General features: G+C 51.6%; 1 protein-coding gene and 1 long non-coding RNA gene across 6 annotated transcripts in view, besides 6 other annotated features; one reads left to right on the top strand and one right to left on the bottom strand.

Moving 5' to 3' along the window:
- Positions 1–9,828, top strand: part of CACNG2-DT (CACNG2 divergent transcript) — a 63,214-nt gene extending 53,386 nt beyond the window's left edge. The window contains exons 3-4 of the long non-coding RNA NR_134623.1: positions 9,083–9,260; positions 9,688–9,828. This is a non-coding gene — a long non-coding RNA (CACNG2 divergent transcript). The remainder of the gene's footprint in view (positions 1–9,082; positions 9,261–9,687) is intronic.
- Positions 950–18,858, bottom strand: IFT27 (intraflagellar transport 27). 5 transcript variants are annotated; one of them, NM_001363003.2, is made up of 8 exons: positions 18,770–18,858; positions 18,413–18,533; positions 10,522–10,601; positions 10,045–10,104; positions 8,877–8,936; positions 6,658–6,775; positions 5,643–5,752; positions 950–1,148 (listed from the first exon to the last, which is right to left on the bottom strand). In NM_001363003.2, the coding sequence occupies exons 2-8, from the start codon at positions 18,444–18,446 to the stop codon at positions 1,050–1,052; spliced, it is 561 nt and encodes a 186-aa protein (NP_001349932.1). In that variant the 5' UTR covers positions 18,447–18,533; positions 18,770–18,858; the 3' UTR covers positions 950–1,049. The 5 variants fall into 5 exon arrangements, 4 of the variants coding, with proteins under 4 accessions (NP_001349932.1, NP_006851.1, NP_001171172.1 ...); NM_006860.5 differs by having other exon boundaries at positions 10,522–10,598; positions 18,413–18,858; NM_001177701.3 differs by having other exon boundaries at positions 18,413–18,858.
- Positions 8,608–9,807: an enhancer, noted in NCBI's record as "CDK7 strongly-dependent group 2 enhancer chr22:37161913-37163112 (GRCh37/hg19 assembly coordinates)". NCBI's record gives its function as "activates an origin of replication core promoter dependent on BRD2, BRD4, P300/CBP, MED14 and CDK7 cofactors, with strong dependence on CDK7, by STARR-seq in HCT116 cells {active_cell/tissue: HCT116}" and the evidence as "EXISTENCE:reporter gene assay evidence [ECO:0000049][PMID:35650434]".
- Positions 18,420–18,479: a silencer, noted in NCBI's record as "silent region_13671". NCBI's record gives its function as "represses an Ori minimal core promoter by ATAC-STARR-seq in GM12878 lymphoblastoid cells {active_cell/tissue: GM12878}" and the evidence as "EXISTENCE:reporter gene assay evidence [ECO:0000049][PMID:35858748]".
- Positions 18,558–19,121: an enhancer, noted in NCBI's record as "OCT4-NANOG-H3K4me1 hESC enhancer chr22:37171863-37172426 (GRCh37/hg19 assembly coordinates)". NCBI's record gives its function as "activates a minimal SCP1, AML or CMV promoter by ChIP-STARR-seq in primed H9 embryonic stem cells {active_cell/tissue: H9 hESC(primed)}" and the evidence as "EXISTENCE:reporter gene assay evidence [ECO:0000049][PMID:30033119]".
- Positions 18,558–19,159: a biological region, named in NCBI's record as "OCT4-NANOG-H3K4me1 hESC enhancer GRCh37_chr22:37171863-37172426".
- Positions 18,610–18,659: a silencer, noted in NCBI's record as "silent region_13672". NCBI's record gives its function as "represses an Ori minimal core promoter by ATAC-STARR-seq in GM12878 lymphoblastoid cells {active_cell/tissue: GM12878}" and the evidence as "EXISTENCE:reporter gene assay evidence [ECO:0000049][PMID:35858748]".
- Positions 18,900–19,159: an enhancer, noted in NCBI's record as "active region_18939". NCBI's record gives its function as "activates an Ori minimal core promoter by ATAC-STARR-seq in GM12878 lymphoblastoid cells {active_cell/tissue: GM12878}" and the evidence as "EXISTENCE:reporter gene assay evidence [ECO:0000049][PMID:35858748]".

Below are 19,212 nucleotides of genomic sequence, written 5' to 3' on the forward strand. Positions count from 1 at the left end.
AGCGAATATATGACATGTGCTTAGCTCATGTAGAGACATGGCAGGTCGTAAACAGGAACCAGGGCAATTTCCATTATTGCCATTATCACTGGGACAGGCCCAGGTCCGTCCACCCCAACGCTGGCACTCTGCATGACACCCCTAGCTCCTGTGGAGGGAGAGTGATGAAGTCCTCTGGGGCACGGGGGCTGAAAGAAGCCGAGACCCCTGGGGGAAGGTGACAGTCAGGGAAGGCCTTGGATGCCAGACCTTGGCCGGCATCCTGATGTAAAAGGTGGTGAGGCACCTCTGTGGGTCTTTAATCAGGGGAGTGAGACGATGAAAGTGGTGTTTTAGAAGATTAATCTGGCAGCAGAGACAGGATGGAGAACAGTCAAGCTCAGTGCAAATAATGATGCCAGCTGCCCAGCTCCCCGAGGCAGGCAGGAGCCCTGGCCTCCCTGCGCTCAGCCTTCCCTGCAGCCATAGAGGCTGGACCTGCCACCAAGAGACAGGCACCAAGGAAGGCCGGCAGAGGGCACTGTTCTGCCAGTGACAGGAACTACCTCCAGGGAGGTCTGGCATCTGGCTAGCCAGGAGCAAGCAGCAGAACGGACTCTGTCAGAATAAGGGGGCCATCAGCCCCATCTCAGCCTTGGGACAGGTTCTGAGCTGGGCATTTCAGCTGTGGGAAACCGTAAGCAAACGCTGGGCCAGGCCCTTTCAATACCCACTGCGGGCTTCGCTTTTGCAGTGGGAGGCCCTTTAAGGAGCCGGTGCACCCTGCCGCGCAGTGGGCAGGACCACCCCCTCGAGCAAGGCGACGTCCCGAAGCACCAGCCTCACAGAAGGGAGGGCCAGGGTCCCAAGTGGGGCTCCCGGCTGCCCTGGAACCGGCAGTGACGCAGTGGCCAAAGTGTACAGTGGAACTAGGGCCACCCAGGCCAAGAGTGGAAGGAGCTGCTGCTTCGACATTTTCTCCTAATTTTATTTAAAGCCATCATTATATATTAAAAGAGCAGAGGTAATTCTGTCTTCTCCGGTTGTGCAGCACGATCTGCTCCAGCTCGTCATGCCAGGGCCCGGAAAACCTCCACCTTCTCCCGGTACAGCTGGTGGAACTGCTTGGCAAGGCAGTGGAAAGGGGCTTCGAAGTTTTCCATCTCTTTCTGGAAAGACAGTTTAAAAAGTTGGCTGTGTTCTTTTAGAAGGGTCAGAGGGCCAGCTCTCACTCAATGCTTCCCTCATTCGGGGGCTACCTACTTTCCACCTCATTTCATCTTCACGCCCTTCGAGGTAGCCACTTTCATGGATGCCAGTTTTACAAGAAGGAAACTCAGATGGAGTCAGGTAACTCAGAGATGAAGGTACCTTGCAGGAAGCCACACACCTTGTGAATGGTGGAGCTGGGGCCTGAACCCATGTCTGTTTCTACAAAGCCTGTGCTTTTAGTTGCAGTCACTGTACGTGTGACGAGATGTGAAAATGACACCTTTCCTCAGTTTTGACTGAGGCTCCAAAGGCCAAAGCAAAATACCAAGGAACCTGGAGCCCCCCATCCCGAAGAAGAGCTAGACAGCATGGGGCACCCTCTTCCTAGGCTGGTGCTGGACCCAGGCCTGGGAGGAATCGAGGTGAGGTGGTGGCTGGGCAAGCCAGGAGAGGGCTACCAATGAGACGGCCTCGCTGCCTCCTTTGTCAAACTAAACGGCTGCAGCAGCACTTCCCTGAACCAGCGGGGGCCAAGTGGAGCCAGCCTGGTGCTGTCTTAAGGGGGCTCGGCTGGGACCGCCTCCAGGAGGGTGACGGGTCCCAATAAGAATGAACAGCCAGGAACTGGGGCTGCAGGAGGAGTGAGGGGGGACCACCTGTGAGAAGCAGCCTGCAGGTGAGACAGCGCCACTGATGGGGTGGGGAGGGGCATCTCAGAGGCGCCCATGGGGCACCAGCCGGATCCACCCAGCAGGTGTGGAGTGGGCCACGACAGACCCCAGCAAACACGCTGCACTCCTGGCTCCGGTCTCTCCCTCCCGAAGACTGTGAGAGGAGGTGCCACTTTAAATCAAGTTCAGAATTTTGACAATCACCCAGGGCTGGGCACTTTAATACCTGAAATCGTGAATATCTTTGTGACTAAAGGAGCCCAAAAGAATTTTTGTTACCTGAGAGAGAAAAGAGAAGTTCAGGAACTTGCCCTAGATTTTATCTAAGCGGTGGAAAAAACGGGCCCCTCCAGGGTGCACAGGGACAGGCTGGAGGGCAAAGGAAATGGCGCCCTCTCTCTTAACAGCCACTCTCACTCTGTTGGGTGCACGTGTGCATTCAAAAACTTTCTCAGAAAAAAGTTGGCAGAAAAAGGAATGTACTACTTTCAAGACAGCAGCTCAAGCTATGAATGCACTAAGAACCTGTTTTGAGACGATCCCTGGCAGCTGGCAAAAGTGCAACCTTGAGAAGAGGCCGTGAAATATCCCCAACGAAACAGAAGGATTTCCAAACTGAAGAACGTTGCAGAAGGCATCAAGCGCGGTGCCTTCGCTTCACAGATGAGTAGTTTGGGGCCCAGCGGGTGAAGCGGCCCAGCTGGTTGGTGCAGAGCCCAGCCCAGCATCCAGATTCTCTGATTTGGGAAGAGCTACCTTTCCTCGAGGCCAGCTGGGATGTGCGAAGGAAACCAGGTCCCGTGGAGAAAGTTACCTGGACTTTCTAGCAAGGGAAAGCCTAAGTAAAGAAAACAGTTGGCCAAGAGGAAAGACAGTGGTGGCAATGCTGAGAGAGTGCCGAGGAAAGAGTGGAGAGTTTGTAGCCAAGACGAACATTTATAGTAAGCTCCCAACAGCCAAGGACTTGAAAGCCATCACCGTCCAGCTGGACACGAGAGCAAGAATTCAGTACATCCTGCCGGGCCCTGCTAGTTGTGCAGAGCACAAGGTCCTAGGCAAGCCAGTGTCGGGGTAAAACACTGCTTCCGTCGAAAGTAGAGTTAAGAATGGAATGGAAAAAGACTGAGGCCTGCATAGCGCACGCACGGGGATTTCAAAATGGATTCGAAAACACTCCACAATGCAATCTTGGGAGATCGCAACATAAAAAGGAAGGAATTCAATGCAGGTGAGCCTCAATAGACACCACGGCGTGCTTCTGAAATAGATGAAAATTGAACTGTTTTCCAAATACTTTGAGAGGGTTACCAATGACAGGAATCCTTTCGTCTGATCACTAATCATCATCTCGCTTACACAGTCAGGACAGCTGTGGAGTAGGTCGGCTTAGAGGGATTCTCAGGGCAGGTTCAGGCTAGTGTTCAGTCTGGCCTTGAATTGTGTTCTGCAGAGTCCCACAGCAGGCTCCGCAGGAGGCCAGGGTACCCCTTCTAGAAAACCCAAGTTTTCCAGCTGGACAGGCCTGACTCCTAGTCCTGTTTCTAGCCCTCGTTTAACTATGCAACCAGGGCAAGCTACACAACCTTTCTGAGTCTGTCATCTATACAACACAGGAGTGTTACCTTGTAGGGCTGTTATGAAGCCTAAACAAATAATGTGTGCAAAACACCTAGCACACAGTAGGCCCTCATCAAACGTTACTTCCCCACTCCTCGCTTGCCTGGGAGGGCAGTGATCAGCGCGGATTGTTCTTGCACTTGTTTGTAGGGACCTCCTTTGGGTAGGCAGGATGGTCACTGCGGTGTTTAGGCAGAAGAGAGGAGGAGATGAGCTTGGCGCCAGCCCTTGGCTGCGTCTCAAGCTGCGTTTGCTTATATTTCCTTTTTAATTACAGCTTTCTTAACCGAGCTGCCAGCGGTGCTTCTGTGAGCCTCAACTCAGGGGGGACTAGTTAACTTGCACAGATAATAGCAAGTGCTTACTGCAGCCTCTTCAAGAGTAGTTCACACCCACCCACCCACTTCAACACCTCAACAGAGTTTAACCCGTAGCCCACTGGCCTTTGGTGACTCCTGTTTTGGAGGTTGGGGTGGGTTTTAATTTCTGAGTTCTATCAAGCGTTCTAGGGAATATGGAATATTGGGGTGCAGGGACAATTTCACAAATGAATGGAGGAAGGGAGAATACTGAAATCCTGTTTGCTAGGGCACTACCGCCTACTGCTTTGCACAAAGGTGTGCTGCAGAAAAGATGGCAAACCCTCTATACAGGAAAAGCTGATTTGGGCTTCATTAATTTAGCATTTGTGATAATTGGACCAGAGGCAAGGGTGATATTTATCTCTGCACAAGCCATGAATACAAGGATTTAGTAAGTAATAACAGTATAAACAAGATTCTAGGGGTAATATTTATACTTTAAGAAAGCTAACATCTACTGAGTGTTTACCAGGCGCCAGACTCTGTGATCCATGTTTTATATGCGACATATTACTTGATTCTCATATTTATTACTCGATAAGGGATGTATTTTATGATCCTCACTTTACAAGCCTGAGCCACCAACAGGTGAAATAACATGTCCAGGTTCCCACGGCGAGTTCTGCCACTCACCATGGGAGGTCAGAGTGCCTGCCTTTACTGCTGTACTTTCCCTAAGGAAGCATGCTGCTTTGGGGGAGTTTTATAAGCTCGGACGGCAGCACTGGTCAAGGTTCCTAGATGCAATAGCAGAAGTGCCTAGAGCCAAAGTCAAGCTGGAGCAGAAGATGACCTCCAGAACATTAACCAGCCCATGACTCAATTCTGAGGGCCACAGAATCAGGTCTAAAGGCCACAAGGTGAGGTCCAAGTTACGACCATGACTGTGCCAGGCCTGGTGATCTCCCCAGCTAGCAACCCTGGCGAGGGGCAGGGCAACCAACACTCGGGCCCCTGCTGGCTCTGAGATGGATGTTCAGGGCCACACCTGTTCCTAGAGGGCAGATCATCACTTCATGCCCTTCCTAGTGGAGTCTCATGTGAGGGGTCTGATTGGTGCAGCCTGGGTCACATGGCTGCATCTTGGCCTCAAGGAGGATGGGACTTTAAAACTCCCAAACACAGGAAGCAGGTTCCTCAGTGCTGGACAGCTAAAATCATGATACATTAGGTTGGTGCAAAAGTAATTGCAGTTTTTGCCAGGAAAAGTGTACTGAAGACGCTGAAAATCACTTGCTTTTTGTAATGAGGTCTTCTGCTCTTTTAACTGGCAGGCACTTTGTGGCCTGGAGTCACCCTGGGGCTGCAGCAAGGTGAGGATGGGTGGTACCGATGGGAATTAGAGGCCATGAGTCCTAATCCTGGCTCCACCCTTCGCTAATCATGGGACCTTGGACAAGTCACTTGAGCTCCTCAACACTGGAATGGGAGCTGTGGGGCCAACTTCTGGTTCACAGGACTGGTTGTGAGAGCCACATGAAACAATGTTCCAACAACATCTGAACCCAGAATATTGCATGCAAACGTCGAGGGTCATGATCACCGCACACAAAGCACTTGTATTTCTTACTAGTTGAGATACACCTTTTCCCAGGGTTGGCTGGCTGATCTGCTTTCCTGTTATGTCTGAGCAGCTACTGCTATACTGAGAAGAGATCTCGGGTAAGAATGTAAACATCAGTTCCAAATGAGACTCTGCATATGGTGGAATAACAGCTCCCTGCACGTGAGGTCATGTGCAAGACCGCTGCCAGCAGAGGCCCACTCCAGACTTGGCGACGAGGCAAGTGGAAATACTCACCACGGATGTTTCAAAACATTCCAGGCCCTGGCCCAGCGCCCATGCCCGGGCCTCAGCTGAGTCCACTGCTCGTCTGCCGGCCAGGTCTGTCTTGTTCCCAACTAAAACACCTACTCAGAAGAAACAACCAAAATATGGCACTTCACTGTCACACTCTGGAAGGACAGCGGGCGAGATGAGAGCACTATTTTTGAGGGGTGTAAAGCATCCTCTGAGAGCTGCCTGACTCGAGGTGGTGAGCCCCCCCACAGGGAAAGCCGGGGGTCTCTCGTGATGGCCCCAAGGGCCACAGAGAGACAGGTGGGCTTCGCTTTTCATGCACAACTTCTGCTAGGTCTTTTTCTAGACCTCACGTGTATCTGTCTCCCTTGCCTCCTTAAAGGGCTGCAAACGCCTGAAGGCGAGGGCCAAATTTATGTGAGCCTTTGTAATAATTCTGAGCACACGGAGCAAACTGTAAACTGGTCATTAATAGTAATCTAAGGACTCGGCTCGGAGTCAGGGATTCAGAGGTAATTTAGTTCAGCTCCCAGCTGCATCAGCTGCAGCTAATTTTTGAGCCTGTCTCTGGAGATCACTTTCCCCGGTCTATAATGAGGAGAATTTGTTGATCTCACATAGGGACGAAAAATAAACTGATTTAAAGCATTCAGAAGTGACAACAGGCTTGAATGTTTACTTGTACCCCATATACAAGAGAAAATTAGGAACTCTTCCCTGGGGTTAGCTTTCTGGAATTAACAACTGATATTACAGCACCCTCCCGTTATTGAGTCTCCCCACAGCCCTGCCAGGTGCGTGTCCTCATTCCCGTTTCCTAGACTGGGAGAGGTGTGTGTGGTGACTCACCGAGGTTGGCATGGCTGCTAAGTGGCAGGGCCAGTGTACGCCTTAGGCCATCAAAGTCCAAGCCCAGGGCCCCTTCTCCACCCACAGCTACCTCTGCAATGCCCTTGTGCTCTTGAACCAAAGGACAGAGATGCCGCTGGGAAACATGGGTGTCTGCAGCCCGTACCTGGGAGAGAGATGCCTGGAGCCTGTGACCGAGCCTTCTCCAGCCACTTGCTGCAGTTGTTGAAGGATTCTTCATTGGTCACATCATAGACGAGACATAAGACATTGGGACTCTCCCACTGTGCAAGAGGGACAGGATGAGTATGGGTCAGTAACAGGAAAAGTGACTTCAAGGCTGGGAGACAATTTGGCCTTCCAAGGGAAAGGGTATGGGGAGCAGAGGGAAACAAGAAACGAAAACAGCCACACCCCCAGATGTCCAACAATTTCCCCAAAGGAATGAACGGAGGGCCACGTTCAGTGGCAGGAGGCAGGGCTGGGGCGGTGCCGCCAAGGACAAGAGCTCATGTCTGGGCCAGGCTCTGCTGGGCACTTCCGTGCCTCACTGTGAAACCTCCCAACTCGGTAGAGTGTCTGAATATTTCCACTTTGTAGCTGAAGAAACCAAATTCAGGGAGGGTAAGTGACTTGTCCAGGCCTGACAGGCTTTAAAAACAAAGACAACGATGACAGAGATGGGGGACGACTGAGTTCTTCTCTACCCAACAATCTGCTTTCACCTGCAGCTGGCCTCATTCATTCATTCTCCACTCATTCTTATCAAGAGCCCACCACCATGCAAGTTACATTTTTGTGCTTTGCAGCCCTGAAAGAAGATTCTTTCTTCATTAGCCAGCCTGGGAAGCTTGTTTGCTTGCATCTTCTTAATAAGGGCTGGCTTGTTAAAATGCAGAGGGCACTTTCTGCTTCTCTTGCCATCTCTGCATCAGCCTAATCCAAACCACACTGACAACTGGACAGGGCTCCATGACCCAATTAAGAGCCAAGGCTACACTCTCAGGGGCTGTCGCCTTCAGGGGCTGCTCAGAGTCCTGGGATGTCCTGCTGCCTGCCCCTGGATGTAGAATGGCCCTGTACAGGCTGTGGGTGCGCACCCTGGTGCTCGTGACTCTTGGCCATGCTCTGGTTTCTGGATCCCCCAACCTCGCACAATTAGGACCTGGTTTATTTCCGGGGTGCCAGTAACCTCCCAGGGTACAGAAGAGAATCCTTTTCCCTCCAGATTGGATTCCCTTTCAGATCCTTGGAAGGCGGGCCCAGATTCCACTCTGGAGGGCTCCTCCTCACCCTACAAGGCTGTGCTGGCTTCTGGCAGTGTCAGGGATGGGAGGACCGTGGACTAAACTGATGAACCCTTCACTCCACAGATTAACTCTTGAACTCCTGCTAGAACACATTGAGCTCTGTTACATGCACGCAGGAGACACTTCAGCGTGGTTTTAACTCAAGAAATCCTCCTTCTTCCAGGCTTCAGTGAGGGGGTCCTGGAGAGGCCTGGCATCAAGCTAAAGCCAGAGCGGGTGAACCAGGAGTCAGGGCCGGCTGGAGGGGAGGGTGTGAGCTGACGGGTGGCACATGGCCTGGATTTGCCCTAATACATCTTCCCTTCTGCTGGGCATGGCAGCCCCAGTGCCAGGCCATGCACACGGTAGGCAATTGGGGTGAACGTCGTGAACCGATGCATGAAGCCAACCCTGTATGAAATCACTATCATTAGATCTACTTCTCTTAGGCAACAAAAAAAAAGGGGCAGAAAACTGTTCCCATTAAAATGTGGCTGTTCTTGGAAAGGCAGGGGAGGGCTCTGGAGAACTCAAACCTTCTAATTAGCTCACTGGCCCAGATTAGTGAGACTGTTACCGTGGAAGGTACAGCAAGTGGATCCTGCGAGGCTGGTGGGACGGGGGTGGATGGGGCATGGTGAGGCCTGGGCAGCAGCAGGGGCATGTTCCAGAGCAAACCCCAGTGGAACGGCAGAAAGTGAGCCTCGTTATAGGCTGAGGCCTCTACAGCACTTCCCAGAGGGGGAGGAGGCAGTCTGTACTGTCTTGGGAGGTAGGGGACACCATCTGAAAGGACAGTGTTGCTCTAAAGAAGGGAGGCCTCACAGGGGGAGGGCTGCAAGGACCGAGCCGCAGGGCTCTTGGCCCATTGGATCCTGGGCACCCCAGAGCTGGGGCCCGGGCAGTCACACGCATCAGCCACTCCTTCTTGCCAAGTATCCATGAGTCCTGGGCTGGGAGGAATGCCCCTTAAAGAGTAATGCCATGGGAGCTTCCCAACAGCACAGTGCAGGGAAACTGCTGTGTGAGCACTGTCAGGGGTAAACGTTTTGGCAGGAGGTGGTGACAGTCAGGAAAAAGACCACGTGCTACTTGCCAATTTATCCAGCATTTCCGAAAACAGCTCCTTGCCAGCAGAGTCAAAAATGAAGAGTTCCTACAATCAGAAAAGCAAGAAAAGTCTCCACGTGGAAAAACCACAAGCTACGAGTCACTGGTATCACTCTCAACTCACACTGGACTTGTCTTAGGGGTGAAATACAGGCACCCACATCTTCACACATGCTCTGTCTTTTCTCCCAGGCACGAGAGAAGATGAAGGGGAAAGGAGCGAACTCCAGAGTCTTAGAGAGGCAGTACGACGGGTTCTCGCACCAACCAGCACTTTCTGTGTGGAGTCTCACCTCTTGTAACCCTGAGTGCAAAAATACCAGGAACAAGCTGACTTCCCACCTGGCAGAACAGAATGCTAAACAGGCCGGTGAGTGCTCTGGTTTCCAAAAGGTCATTCTGCACTTTGTTAACCAAATTGATTTTCAAATCTTAGAACAATTCTTTCTAAAGGAGGTCACTGAGTAGGCCTGGGGAAGGTGTTTAAAGTAGGACATTCTGTCACCCTTCTGGGATGGCTAAGGTGTGAGGCAGACAGAGGGTGCGGGATGACCCTTCCTGCCCTGTCCAAACCTTCCCCAGCCCATGTGAGAACCCCCAGGGCTGGTCCCCTAGGAAATCACCCCTCGGCTCCCCCACAAGCTCCCTCCTGGCACTGGGTATTTCCTGGCTGGCCTCTGATCCCTGGCATACACCGTCTAAACATCAGCACCATTGTCTGTTTTGCATATTGGTTACCTGGGAACTCACCTTTCTCTTCATCAGAAGTACTTATACTTTTTTTTTTTTTCTCGCAGACCTCTTTAGGAATCTGGTGAAAGCTACAAACCCTCTCTCTAGAAAAGCACACACAAACATAACGTCTTGCAATTCACTTTCAAGAGCCCCAGGTTCCCATAAAGAGACTCAAGAACCTTGATAGTAGAGAACAAGTTCCTCAAGGGCCAGGCCCATCTCCTAGTCCTCCTTCCTTCCTTCCTCCTCCACCTCCTCAGTCCCTCCCTTGAATGCTTCCCGATTCTATTCCGAAATGCTCAGCCAAGTCTAGACCACAGCCTTGCACTGCATCTCTCCTAGGGAGGATGGTGTGACCACAGAGACCCTGGGCCCAGCTGGGGGAGCCCTGAGTTCCCCTGGGTAAAGGCATCACTCACCACACTGTCTCCCGTGTCAGGAACTGGCACTGTCTTCACCACCAAATCCATTCCTGTTGTCTGCCGAGGAACACCAAGAATGTTAGCACTGAGGGCCCCCAAAGGGAGAGCATGTTACAGGAGGACACACAAGCACCCCGATCCCAGGAGGGCTATCTCCAGTGGAAGGGTTTGTTCTGGACTCATTCTTGTGAGAAGCAGCTCAGCATGCAGAAGTCAGAGGGGACCAACTAGTCCTCTCCACCTCCCTGCCCTGATGTGAGCTGCTACACGTGGTGGCCAAGTTGCTTGTGGCCATTCTGCTCTGTAGCCAACCTCTCACCCTGGGCTAGTGGAAAAAACGATCTCCACGTGGCCCTCTGAGCAGCCTTTCATCAGCTGTCTTAAGGCTTCCCTCAAGGAACTTCGAAGTCACTCATCATGGTGAACCGAGCACTTCTCTATAAGCTGTGGCCAGGTCTTGACACCCCAGCTCACCAGGGTGTAGCTTTTCTGGAAATGGGCTCCATCACTGCGGAAGATCTGTGCCAGGGCGGTCTTGCCCACTGCTGGGTCTCCTGTGAGATCAGAAAAGAAGAAAAAGAACGCCTTAGTTCTCATCTGACTTGAGAATCTCCCGCTGCAGAACATTAGTCTAGAAACCAAAAACTTCAATGAGTTTTGAGAGATGTACTTGCCTCTCACGGGAACTTGTTCTGAGGCCGCGGGCAGGGCACAGGTCCATGAGACTGATCTGCAAACCTCACAACAGCCAGAGCACACTTCTGCACGGCTAAGCCTTTTATCCACAGGAACTGACCCAGAAGGTAACAGAACTTACAGAGGGCTTTGGGGCCCTGGAAACGGAACTGACGCTCTTCCACTGAAACACGCCCTATGGGGAAAAGCTGTCACTTCCAAACTGGAATTTACTTTGAAGTCTTGAAGGTAAAGAAGTGTGACTGGCACTGACAGGCAGAGTCACCTGTCCAACTGACCCAACCTGGGTTGACAGCTTCCACCTGAATACTTTTTTGTGTGGGGCGTGGGGGGTGGAAGGGTCTCTGCATTTGTGGGAAGCAAGAAGTCTGAGGCTGTGTTCATCATTCTGAAATCTCTTTCCAAATGCTATGCTCCATCTCCATCGCAGAATACCTGTCTGTGACCCAAGGATTCTTCTTCCCAGGGGCCTCTCCACCAATTCTATCTGCAATAGCAGTCACCTCCTCCAAGCTCATCTCTCACCTACTGGCTTTATCTCCCTCTCCTCTGCTGGTCAACAGCCCCAGAAACTGGTCCCTCAGAACTAAAGGTTTATGTCGCAGTTTTCAGTCTGAGACCTGAGCCTTTCACAAGACTGCTGGGAGCCATTTAATCGAGCGCTCCTCCCGTGCCCGTCACGGGTGCTGGAAGCTCTCCCTGCCCATCTTTAATTCCCTTTGCCCTCCCCATTTTCCCTCTCATGGCTCTGCTGAGCCTCCTTTGATGCTGATTGTTTCCATTTGCAGCCTCTTTTCCTCCTGAGTCTTACGTGGACTTGCACTCCACCGTCCAGGTCCTGGCAGAACACGTGCTTTCTGCTTCTCATCCTCTGGATCCTTAGCAAAATCAGCACCGCCCTCCGCGGCTTCCAACTCACATCACTTGGTACCATCTCTTCACCTTTGCTTCCCATTTTACAGTCGGCTTCAACACTCCTTTCCTCGACTTCTCAACAGTCTGCCACTGTTCACTTTTCAGTTTTGACTTTTCCCACCTATAATTTTCCCTTGTAAGACAATTATTTCAATGCTTGTGGCATTTCATTTTATGTGAACTCCTCCAGGTTTGAGTGAGCTATTCAGGTCCTGCTTTTCTATTTGTCATCACTCCTTAGAAGGGAACCAATATGTGCTGAGCCCCCCTCATGGACCTGTTCACACAATCCCATTCATTCCTTCCCCGCCAAGGTATCATTCACCTTACCTGACAGATGAAGAGACTGAGGCTCAGAGAGGCTGGGTAACTCGCCCAGGATTCCAACCTCACGCTCTTCCCAGGCCCTGCTCCTCTCCTAGAGCTCAGGGACCACTTCTGACACTTTTCTTGTTTTGAGATGGAGTCTCTGTCACGCAGGCTGAAGTACAGTGGTGCGATCTAGGCTCGCTGCAACCTCCGCCTCCCGGGTTCAAGTGATTCTCCTGCCTTAGCCTCCCGAGTAGCTGGGACTACAGGTGCACGCCACCATGACCAGCTAATGTTTGTATTTTTAGTAGAGACGGGGTTTCACCAGGTTGGCCAGCCTGATCACAAACTCTTGACCTCAGGTGATCTGCCTGCCTCTGCCTGCCAAAGTGCTGGGATTACAGAAGTGAGTTCTGACCCATTTTTAATGCTGTCCCTCCAAGCCCTCCTCACCGCCTTCCATGACATCTGGGGCAACCACAGCCTAGACTGTCAAGGGGTACCCACCCATCTCGGAGCAAACAGAGCGCATCGCTTTCCTTCCTTGGGCCCTGACTGCACCCGCCCTCCCAACTTCAGCTCTGCTCCTGAATTCAGCTGGAAGTTGGCTCCTCCTGCTTATGAGATTCCTCACAGATTTGTTCTGGTTAATTTCATAAATCTTTCCTCTGACTGTCAGTCAGAGTCACCAACACTTACAGGAAACCGCCTGTGTTGGCTATGAGGGCTCAGAAGCACAGGGAGGTGAAATAACTGATAAACACATTTGCAGAGCAACAGGATGACAAGTGCAAATTCAAATAGCACAAACTGAGAAGCAAGGCGTCTGGGAAGCATCGAGAAAAGAAATGAATGAGAGGATTCACTGGGGAGGGAGGCTTCCCTAGGGGCAAGGGCTGGGCCTGGGGGCGACAGCAGGCAGGGCGCTGCAGGACAGAGAGGATGACGTCTGCAAGGGCACGATGCGAGATCACCTGTGACCTCACAGTTGCCAAGGCCGATGGCCTTTTCTTGGTTCTCATCCTCCTTGACTTCTCTGAAGGATGTGAGTCAGCCTGAAGTGACCCCTTCCTTCCCGAGTCCTGTCCCCGTGGCCTCAGTGACCCTGCCCTGGCCTGGTTCTCCTGCTATCTGCCTGCCCCTCTGCCCCCCGAGTGTGGGCATTCCCATGGGCCTGTCATCGGCGGCGCTCTGCTCCTAGTCCACTCCGTCCCACTGACTCTCATCACCTTGACAGAAGGCAGGATCTCCCTCCCAAGCTTTGTCTGTATATCCAAAAACCCGTGTGCGTTGCCACTAGAATGAAGGACCTTCCTCCAACCTCAGTCTGTCTACAGCCAAGCTCCGTCATGCCCTGGTCCTGAGTGGGCTGCCCCCATCACCCAAGCTTTCTGTTTGTGACGCCACCGTGTGTTTTCATCGTCCCCAGATTCAACGGGTCACCTCTGACTGCTCCTCCTCCTTCCTCCCATCTTCAGGCAGCCTCCCTTGCATTCCTCACATCCTTGGCTGAGTCTCAGCCCACCTCTGCTCGGCCCTCCCTGCTGACCCTGCCCCAGTTAGCTCAGCCTCACTGCTGGGTTTCTATCTCAGCCCCAAGCCCATCCTTCCACAGTGTGCAGGGGAGGGGCCTCTGCAGACACATTTCTCCCTTGCTAGGAGCTTCCTGTTAGGCTCTGCCAATGGGAGTTCTGGAAGAAGAAGGGAAGGCTGGAGTCGGGGGAGAGGACACTGCTCTTCCCGCCTGCTTCTCCTTTTTCTTAGTACTACCCTAGCAATGGCCTGCACCCCAGCAGCACTAACTGCTTCCTGTCTTGGGGTGTGTGTGTGTGTGTGTGTTTCCCTACTCCCAGACCAGCTTATTGTTGCCCCCAGAGGAAACAGCGCCAGCGGGCAGTGCCCTCTTCTCAGAGATCCACACCTTGGCTCCCAGGGCCCCTCCTCCCTGCTTCTGGGCTGAGAGCCCCACATGCTTCCCTCTGCTTCCCCAGCCCAAGAGGTGGTGCTCCTTCCTGCAGTTACTACCCGTGCTGCCTCAGTTTCCCCCTTTTCCTCTTCCAGTCCTCTAGCACCAGTGTCATTCACATCCTACTGAAATCCTCACTGTTGAAATGCCGAGTAGAGTTGCTGGTTTTTGCCTGGCCCCTGACTTATGTAGTCCTTGGTACCAGGAGTGGTCTTAAAACATGGACCCTCCAGGATGGTTTGGAACTGGTTTGGTGTGTCTTGCCCTGAACACAGGGCTGGGCTCCTCCCAGTGGGAAATGGGTCCTGGTGCTCTGTGGCATGTGCTGGGGTCACGCGGCAGGTGACTGAACTCCTGAGGTGCCGGGACCAGCCGGGCAGGGCCCCTTCCTCAGGGGTCCGGATCCCAGCTCCCTGGGTCTCTTCAAGCTTCTGACAACCCCGACCTCTGCCCGCCAATCTGTGTCAACTCAATGCTGCCTTCTTGCTTCCTCAGTTCTCCAACACTTGATGAAGCAATTCCATACATTAAAATTTCTCTGCTGAAATGACGACTGCGTTTTCTGTCTTCCCGACTGTGCCTTGAACACTTCTTTTCTCTTCTTTTTTCTCCCGGCTGTTATCCACCCAGTGGGTGGCATCAACAGGTGGACCCCCATGACACAGTGCCTCCATCTTGGCAAACCTTCACACAAACCCCACTGAGGATTCCTTCATAGCCTACCCATCTCCACGGTCAGCCCTAACCCACCTTCCCACTCTCTCCCTAGTAATCCCTTACCCCAAATCTGGGCTCTGCATTCCTGTTCGCCCAGTCCCTGGAAATTCCTCAAGGCCACCTCCTTCCAGGTACCCCTAGACCAAATTCAAATCCTGTCCATTCTCTGCAAGGAAAGCTCAAAGAATACCCTTCCTGCACAGCCTCTGAAGGCCATCTCTCCCTCCTTCATCTTTATCTGTGTGGCTAACGTGGATCGTTGCTCAGTGGTAGCGCACGATGTGATGTCAGAGCAACCCTCCCAGGAGGCTCTATTACCATCTCCATGTATATCAAGAGGCAGCATATTATGGTACTTAAGGGCACAGACTCTGGAGCCAGACTCCAGCTCCATCACTTTCTAGCTGTGTGAGTTTAAATCAGTTACTTAACCTCTCTGTGCCTCAGCTGCAACATGTATAACCTAAGATAATCATAGCACCTACCCCACAGAATTGTTATGAGGATTTAATGAGTTAATATGCACAGTGCCTGGCATATATAAGTACTATTTAAGTGTTTTTTTAAAAGTAAACAAAATACAGATCAATGTCAAATGTTGTTTTCTTTCTTCTCCAGAACCAGAACAAGTAGCAGCTGTGCCTGGAGGCATTTCCCCGCATCTGGCACACAAAGGGCATTCACTTTGTGTTCGCTGTGTTAGAACGTATCACACGCATCTTAGTTCTTCCTTGAGTGCAACTGACTCATGCTTGCAGGCCCACTGCACCTTGCACGGTGACTCTGACGTAGTAGGTGCTCAGCGAGTATCTGTTCAATGCATAAACACTTGAACTGAACGTCAGGTCCTTCAATGACCAGTTATGTGAGAGAAAAAACAGAGTAACTCAGTTTAAACAGTAGGGCTGTGGGTCATGGATGGAAAAATAAAACCAATGGCATGTGTGTGGTGGGGGTGGGTGGACAGGTGTCAGAGGGGGCTGATTTCTGGGCTGAGGTCTTTTGGTCCCTGGAAACTTCCAAGAGGAAATGCTGTGGAATCCCTGAAAAGAGGCTGCAGATTGAGGCGCAGGCTGGAGTTCAGGAGCCACTAACTAGGCAGTGGCTGCACTCAGGTGAAAGAACTACCCAAGGGAGTTGGGGGTAAAGAAGGGCACAAAGAGGCCGGGCATAGTGGGTGGCTCACGCCTGTAATCCCAGCACTTTGGGAGGCTGAGGCAGGTGGATCACTTGAGGTCTGGAGTTCAAGACCAGCCTGACCAACTGGTGAAACCCCATCTCTACTAAAAATACAAAAATTAACTGGGCATGGTGGTGTGTGCCTGTATCCCCGGCTGCTCGGGAGGCTGAGGCAGGGAATCATTTAAACCCAGGAGGTGGAAGTTGCAGTGAGCTAAGGTTGTGCACCACTGCACTCCAGCCTGGGAGACAGAGTGAAATTACGCCTCAAAAAAAAAGGTCCGGGCACAGTGACTCACGCCTGTAATCCCAGCACTTTGGGAGGCCGAGGCGGGCAGATCACCTGACGTCAGGAGTTCAAGACCAGCCTGGCTAACATGGTGAAACCCAGTCTCCACTAAAAAATACAAAAAATTAGCTGGGTATGGTGGTGGGCGCCTGTAATCCCAGCTACTTGGGAGGCTGAGGCAGAAGAATCGCTTGAACCCAGGAGGTGGAGGTTGCAGTGAGCTGAGATTGTGCCATTGCACTCCAGCTTAGGCAATGAGAGTGAAACTCCGTCTCAAAAAAAAAAAAAAAAAAAATAGAAGGACACAGAGGAGCACTACTTGAGGACAGAGTAGCTTGGGCTAAAGCCCTGGAAATCAGATTGGGACCCAGGGTCTGGATCATACAGCTCTGCCACTTCCAGCTCTGTGACCCATGGCAAATGTTCTCATTTTTCTGGGCCTCAGTTGCCTCATCTGTAAATGAGGATGGCAATAATGCCAATCCCACAGGGTTGCTATGAGGATTCAATGAGACCACCTGTATTGAGGGTCTAGCAGAGCTGATGCACCCAAAGCGCCAGTAAGTTAGCTCCATGATGAAAACCGAATTTAAAAAGAACCCAGAGAGAAGCCCATTTAAAAAAAAAAGTAACTTCAGAAAATAATGTTCCCACCTTATCCATAAGGAAATTAAAGCTCAAAAAGTGCTTCGTCCAAGATGACACAGCCAATAAGAGGAACAGGCAAAATTACTTTTGTTACACAACACTGCCTCCTCTGGTGCTCTGGAAACTGGAGATTCTCCTGAGAACCATTAATTTATTTTGCTCCAGTATGATTCAGTTACTACTGTCAGTCATCTTTCTGTGTGACCCTTTTATTTTCAAATTATAAAAGCCATTAAAAATATTATCATTTATTCTCAGTCTGGAAGAGGGGAATTTTTTAAAACAGGAATCTCTTTTTCTCTATATAATTTCTCACCACTTCTTTCCTGAGCTGGCCAGGGAAGCCTGGAAAGGTCACAGGTTTCAACAGAAACACGAGTTAAGAGTTTTGGAGTTGGCCAGATCTAGGGGCTGAAATCCTGCATAGGGCCTTCACTAGGGGTTGACCTTGGCTGACATCTCTCAGTGCCTCAGTAAGATCAGAACAATCCAGTACCTGGCCGGGCGCAGTGGCTCATGCCTGTAATCCCAGCACTTTGGGAGGCCGAGGTGGGTGGATCACCTGAAGTCAGGAGTTCGAGACCAGTCTGGCCAACATGGTGAAACCCCAGCTCTATTAAAAATACAAAAAAAAATTAGCCGGGCATGGTGGCTTGCGCCTGTAATCCCAGCTACTTGGGAGGCTGAGGCAGGGGAATTGCTTGAACCAGGGAGGTGGAGGTTGCAGTGAGCCGAGATTGCGCCACTGCCCTCCAGCCTGGGCAACAGCGTGAGACTCCGTCTCAAAAAAAAAAAAAAAAAAGAAAAACAATCCAGTACCTAGCCCAGTGTGCTATGGTGAGACGATTACATGAAATATGTGTGCTTCACATGCAGTAAGCACTCAGTAACATGCATATGTGTTTCGCAGTCTATAATCCAAAATATTGTTTTTCTAAATGTGCAGACTGATACAAGGGGTACACTACAAATGTGCATGCCACATATTCACATATTCATCCATTCTAAAAGTATTTATTGAGTACCTACTATGTTCCAGGCATTGTTCTGGGTGCTTGGGATGTATCAGTCAACAAAACAAAGATTCCTGCCTTTGGGAGACTCAACATTTATGCCCTTCTTGGAGTGGGGCAGCACAGTAACTTTGGGTCTTAAAGACAACACACAAGTGCCTTTTGCAAACTCTGGTCACTACACTCAGGTCACCGTTATCAGAGGGGGTGAGGTCGGGGGAAAAATCCCATAGTAAAGACTACCAAAGTCACTGATGCCTAACTTTGGGGTACAGTATATGTTTAGCTGAAGCACTCAAGGTTTGCTTAAGCTTTGTTTGTTTTGTTTTGTTTTAACAAGTCTGCTTCTCCAGAGTTGTAACTAGTGATTTTTTAACGAGTCACCTCAACTGGTGAAGGTGGTCTCAGAGTATGTGACAGGGAGCAGGGGGAAATCCACTGGAGCTGCGAAGTGCCCTGGAAGATCATTCTTCCACGCCTAACGTAATTTACTGTATCAGTAATTGCAGTAACTCGCCTTTGGGAGAGAGAAAGGAAAAGGTAGGCAATTTAGGTGAACAAAAGCTCTGGATGAATTATGAAGGCTCTGGACTCCAGAGACCACCGTATTCAAGCGCAAGTTTTCAGACTCACCTGCCAGGATGCATTTGGCTGCCAGCTTCACCATGGTAACCAACACTCCCGCGAGCCGTACCCAGAGGACAAGAGCGGCTGCTAGAGACGCGAGTGGGTGGGCTTCGGGCCCTGGGCTGGCCTGGGACGGGAAGGTGGGGAGGGGAGGGCTGATCTCAAGGGTCAGTGGCCGCGACGGGACTGGGGATGACCGAGCCCGGCCCTTCTGGGCCGGGGGCGGATATCGGGCGCTGGGGGCGGGTGGGCAGGGGAGGGCTCCAGGTGGGCCCGGCTCGAGGCCTGACACGGCAGTCTGAAAAGGTGCAAGCGAGCGGACACGGCCTGTGCTCCCCGCCCAGCCCCTCAGCACAGCCCTACCCAGAGGGTTCAAGGAAGGACGATCCGGCTCTCCTCCGATCACAAGTACCGGGCCGGATGCACTCTCCAAGCAACCATAGCCCACCTGCCCCGCCTCCTCCTCCTCCTCGCTGACCCTCGATTGGTTGCCGCCAAAAGCTCCCACCCTCAAGGTCTCACAAAAATCCAATGGGAGTAGAGAGCTGGGATAACAGCCTTTTCTTGAGATGCAATTCGTAGAGTTATCAGTTCTTCAAGTTCAGTCTGCTTGACGAGTGGTTGTAATTGACGTCAACCAGCTTTATATCCCGCCCCCGCTGCGCCTGAGAGTCCCGAGATAAAGAAGCCTCCACGTCAAGCAGTCAGAAGCGGTGACAAGAGAAGCTTTCTGATTGGTCAGAGTCTGGCTTGACCCATCTTCGGGAGGAATAGGGATTCGCCACTCCCGCTGTCCTTCTAGAAGT

Source organism: Homo sapiens, chromosome 22, assembly GCF_000001405.40.
Source record: "Homo sapiens chromosome 22, GRCh38.p14 Primary Assembly".
NCBI classification, from domain to species: domain Eukaryota; kingdom Metazoa; phylum Chordata; class Mammalia; order Primates; family Hominidae; genus Homo; species Homo sapiens.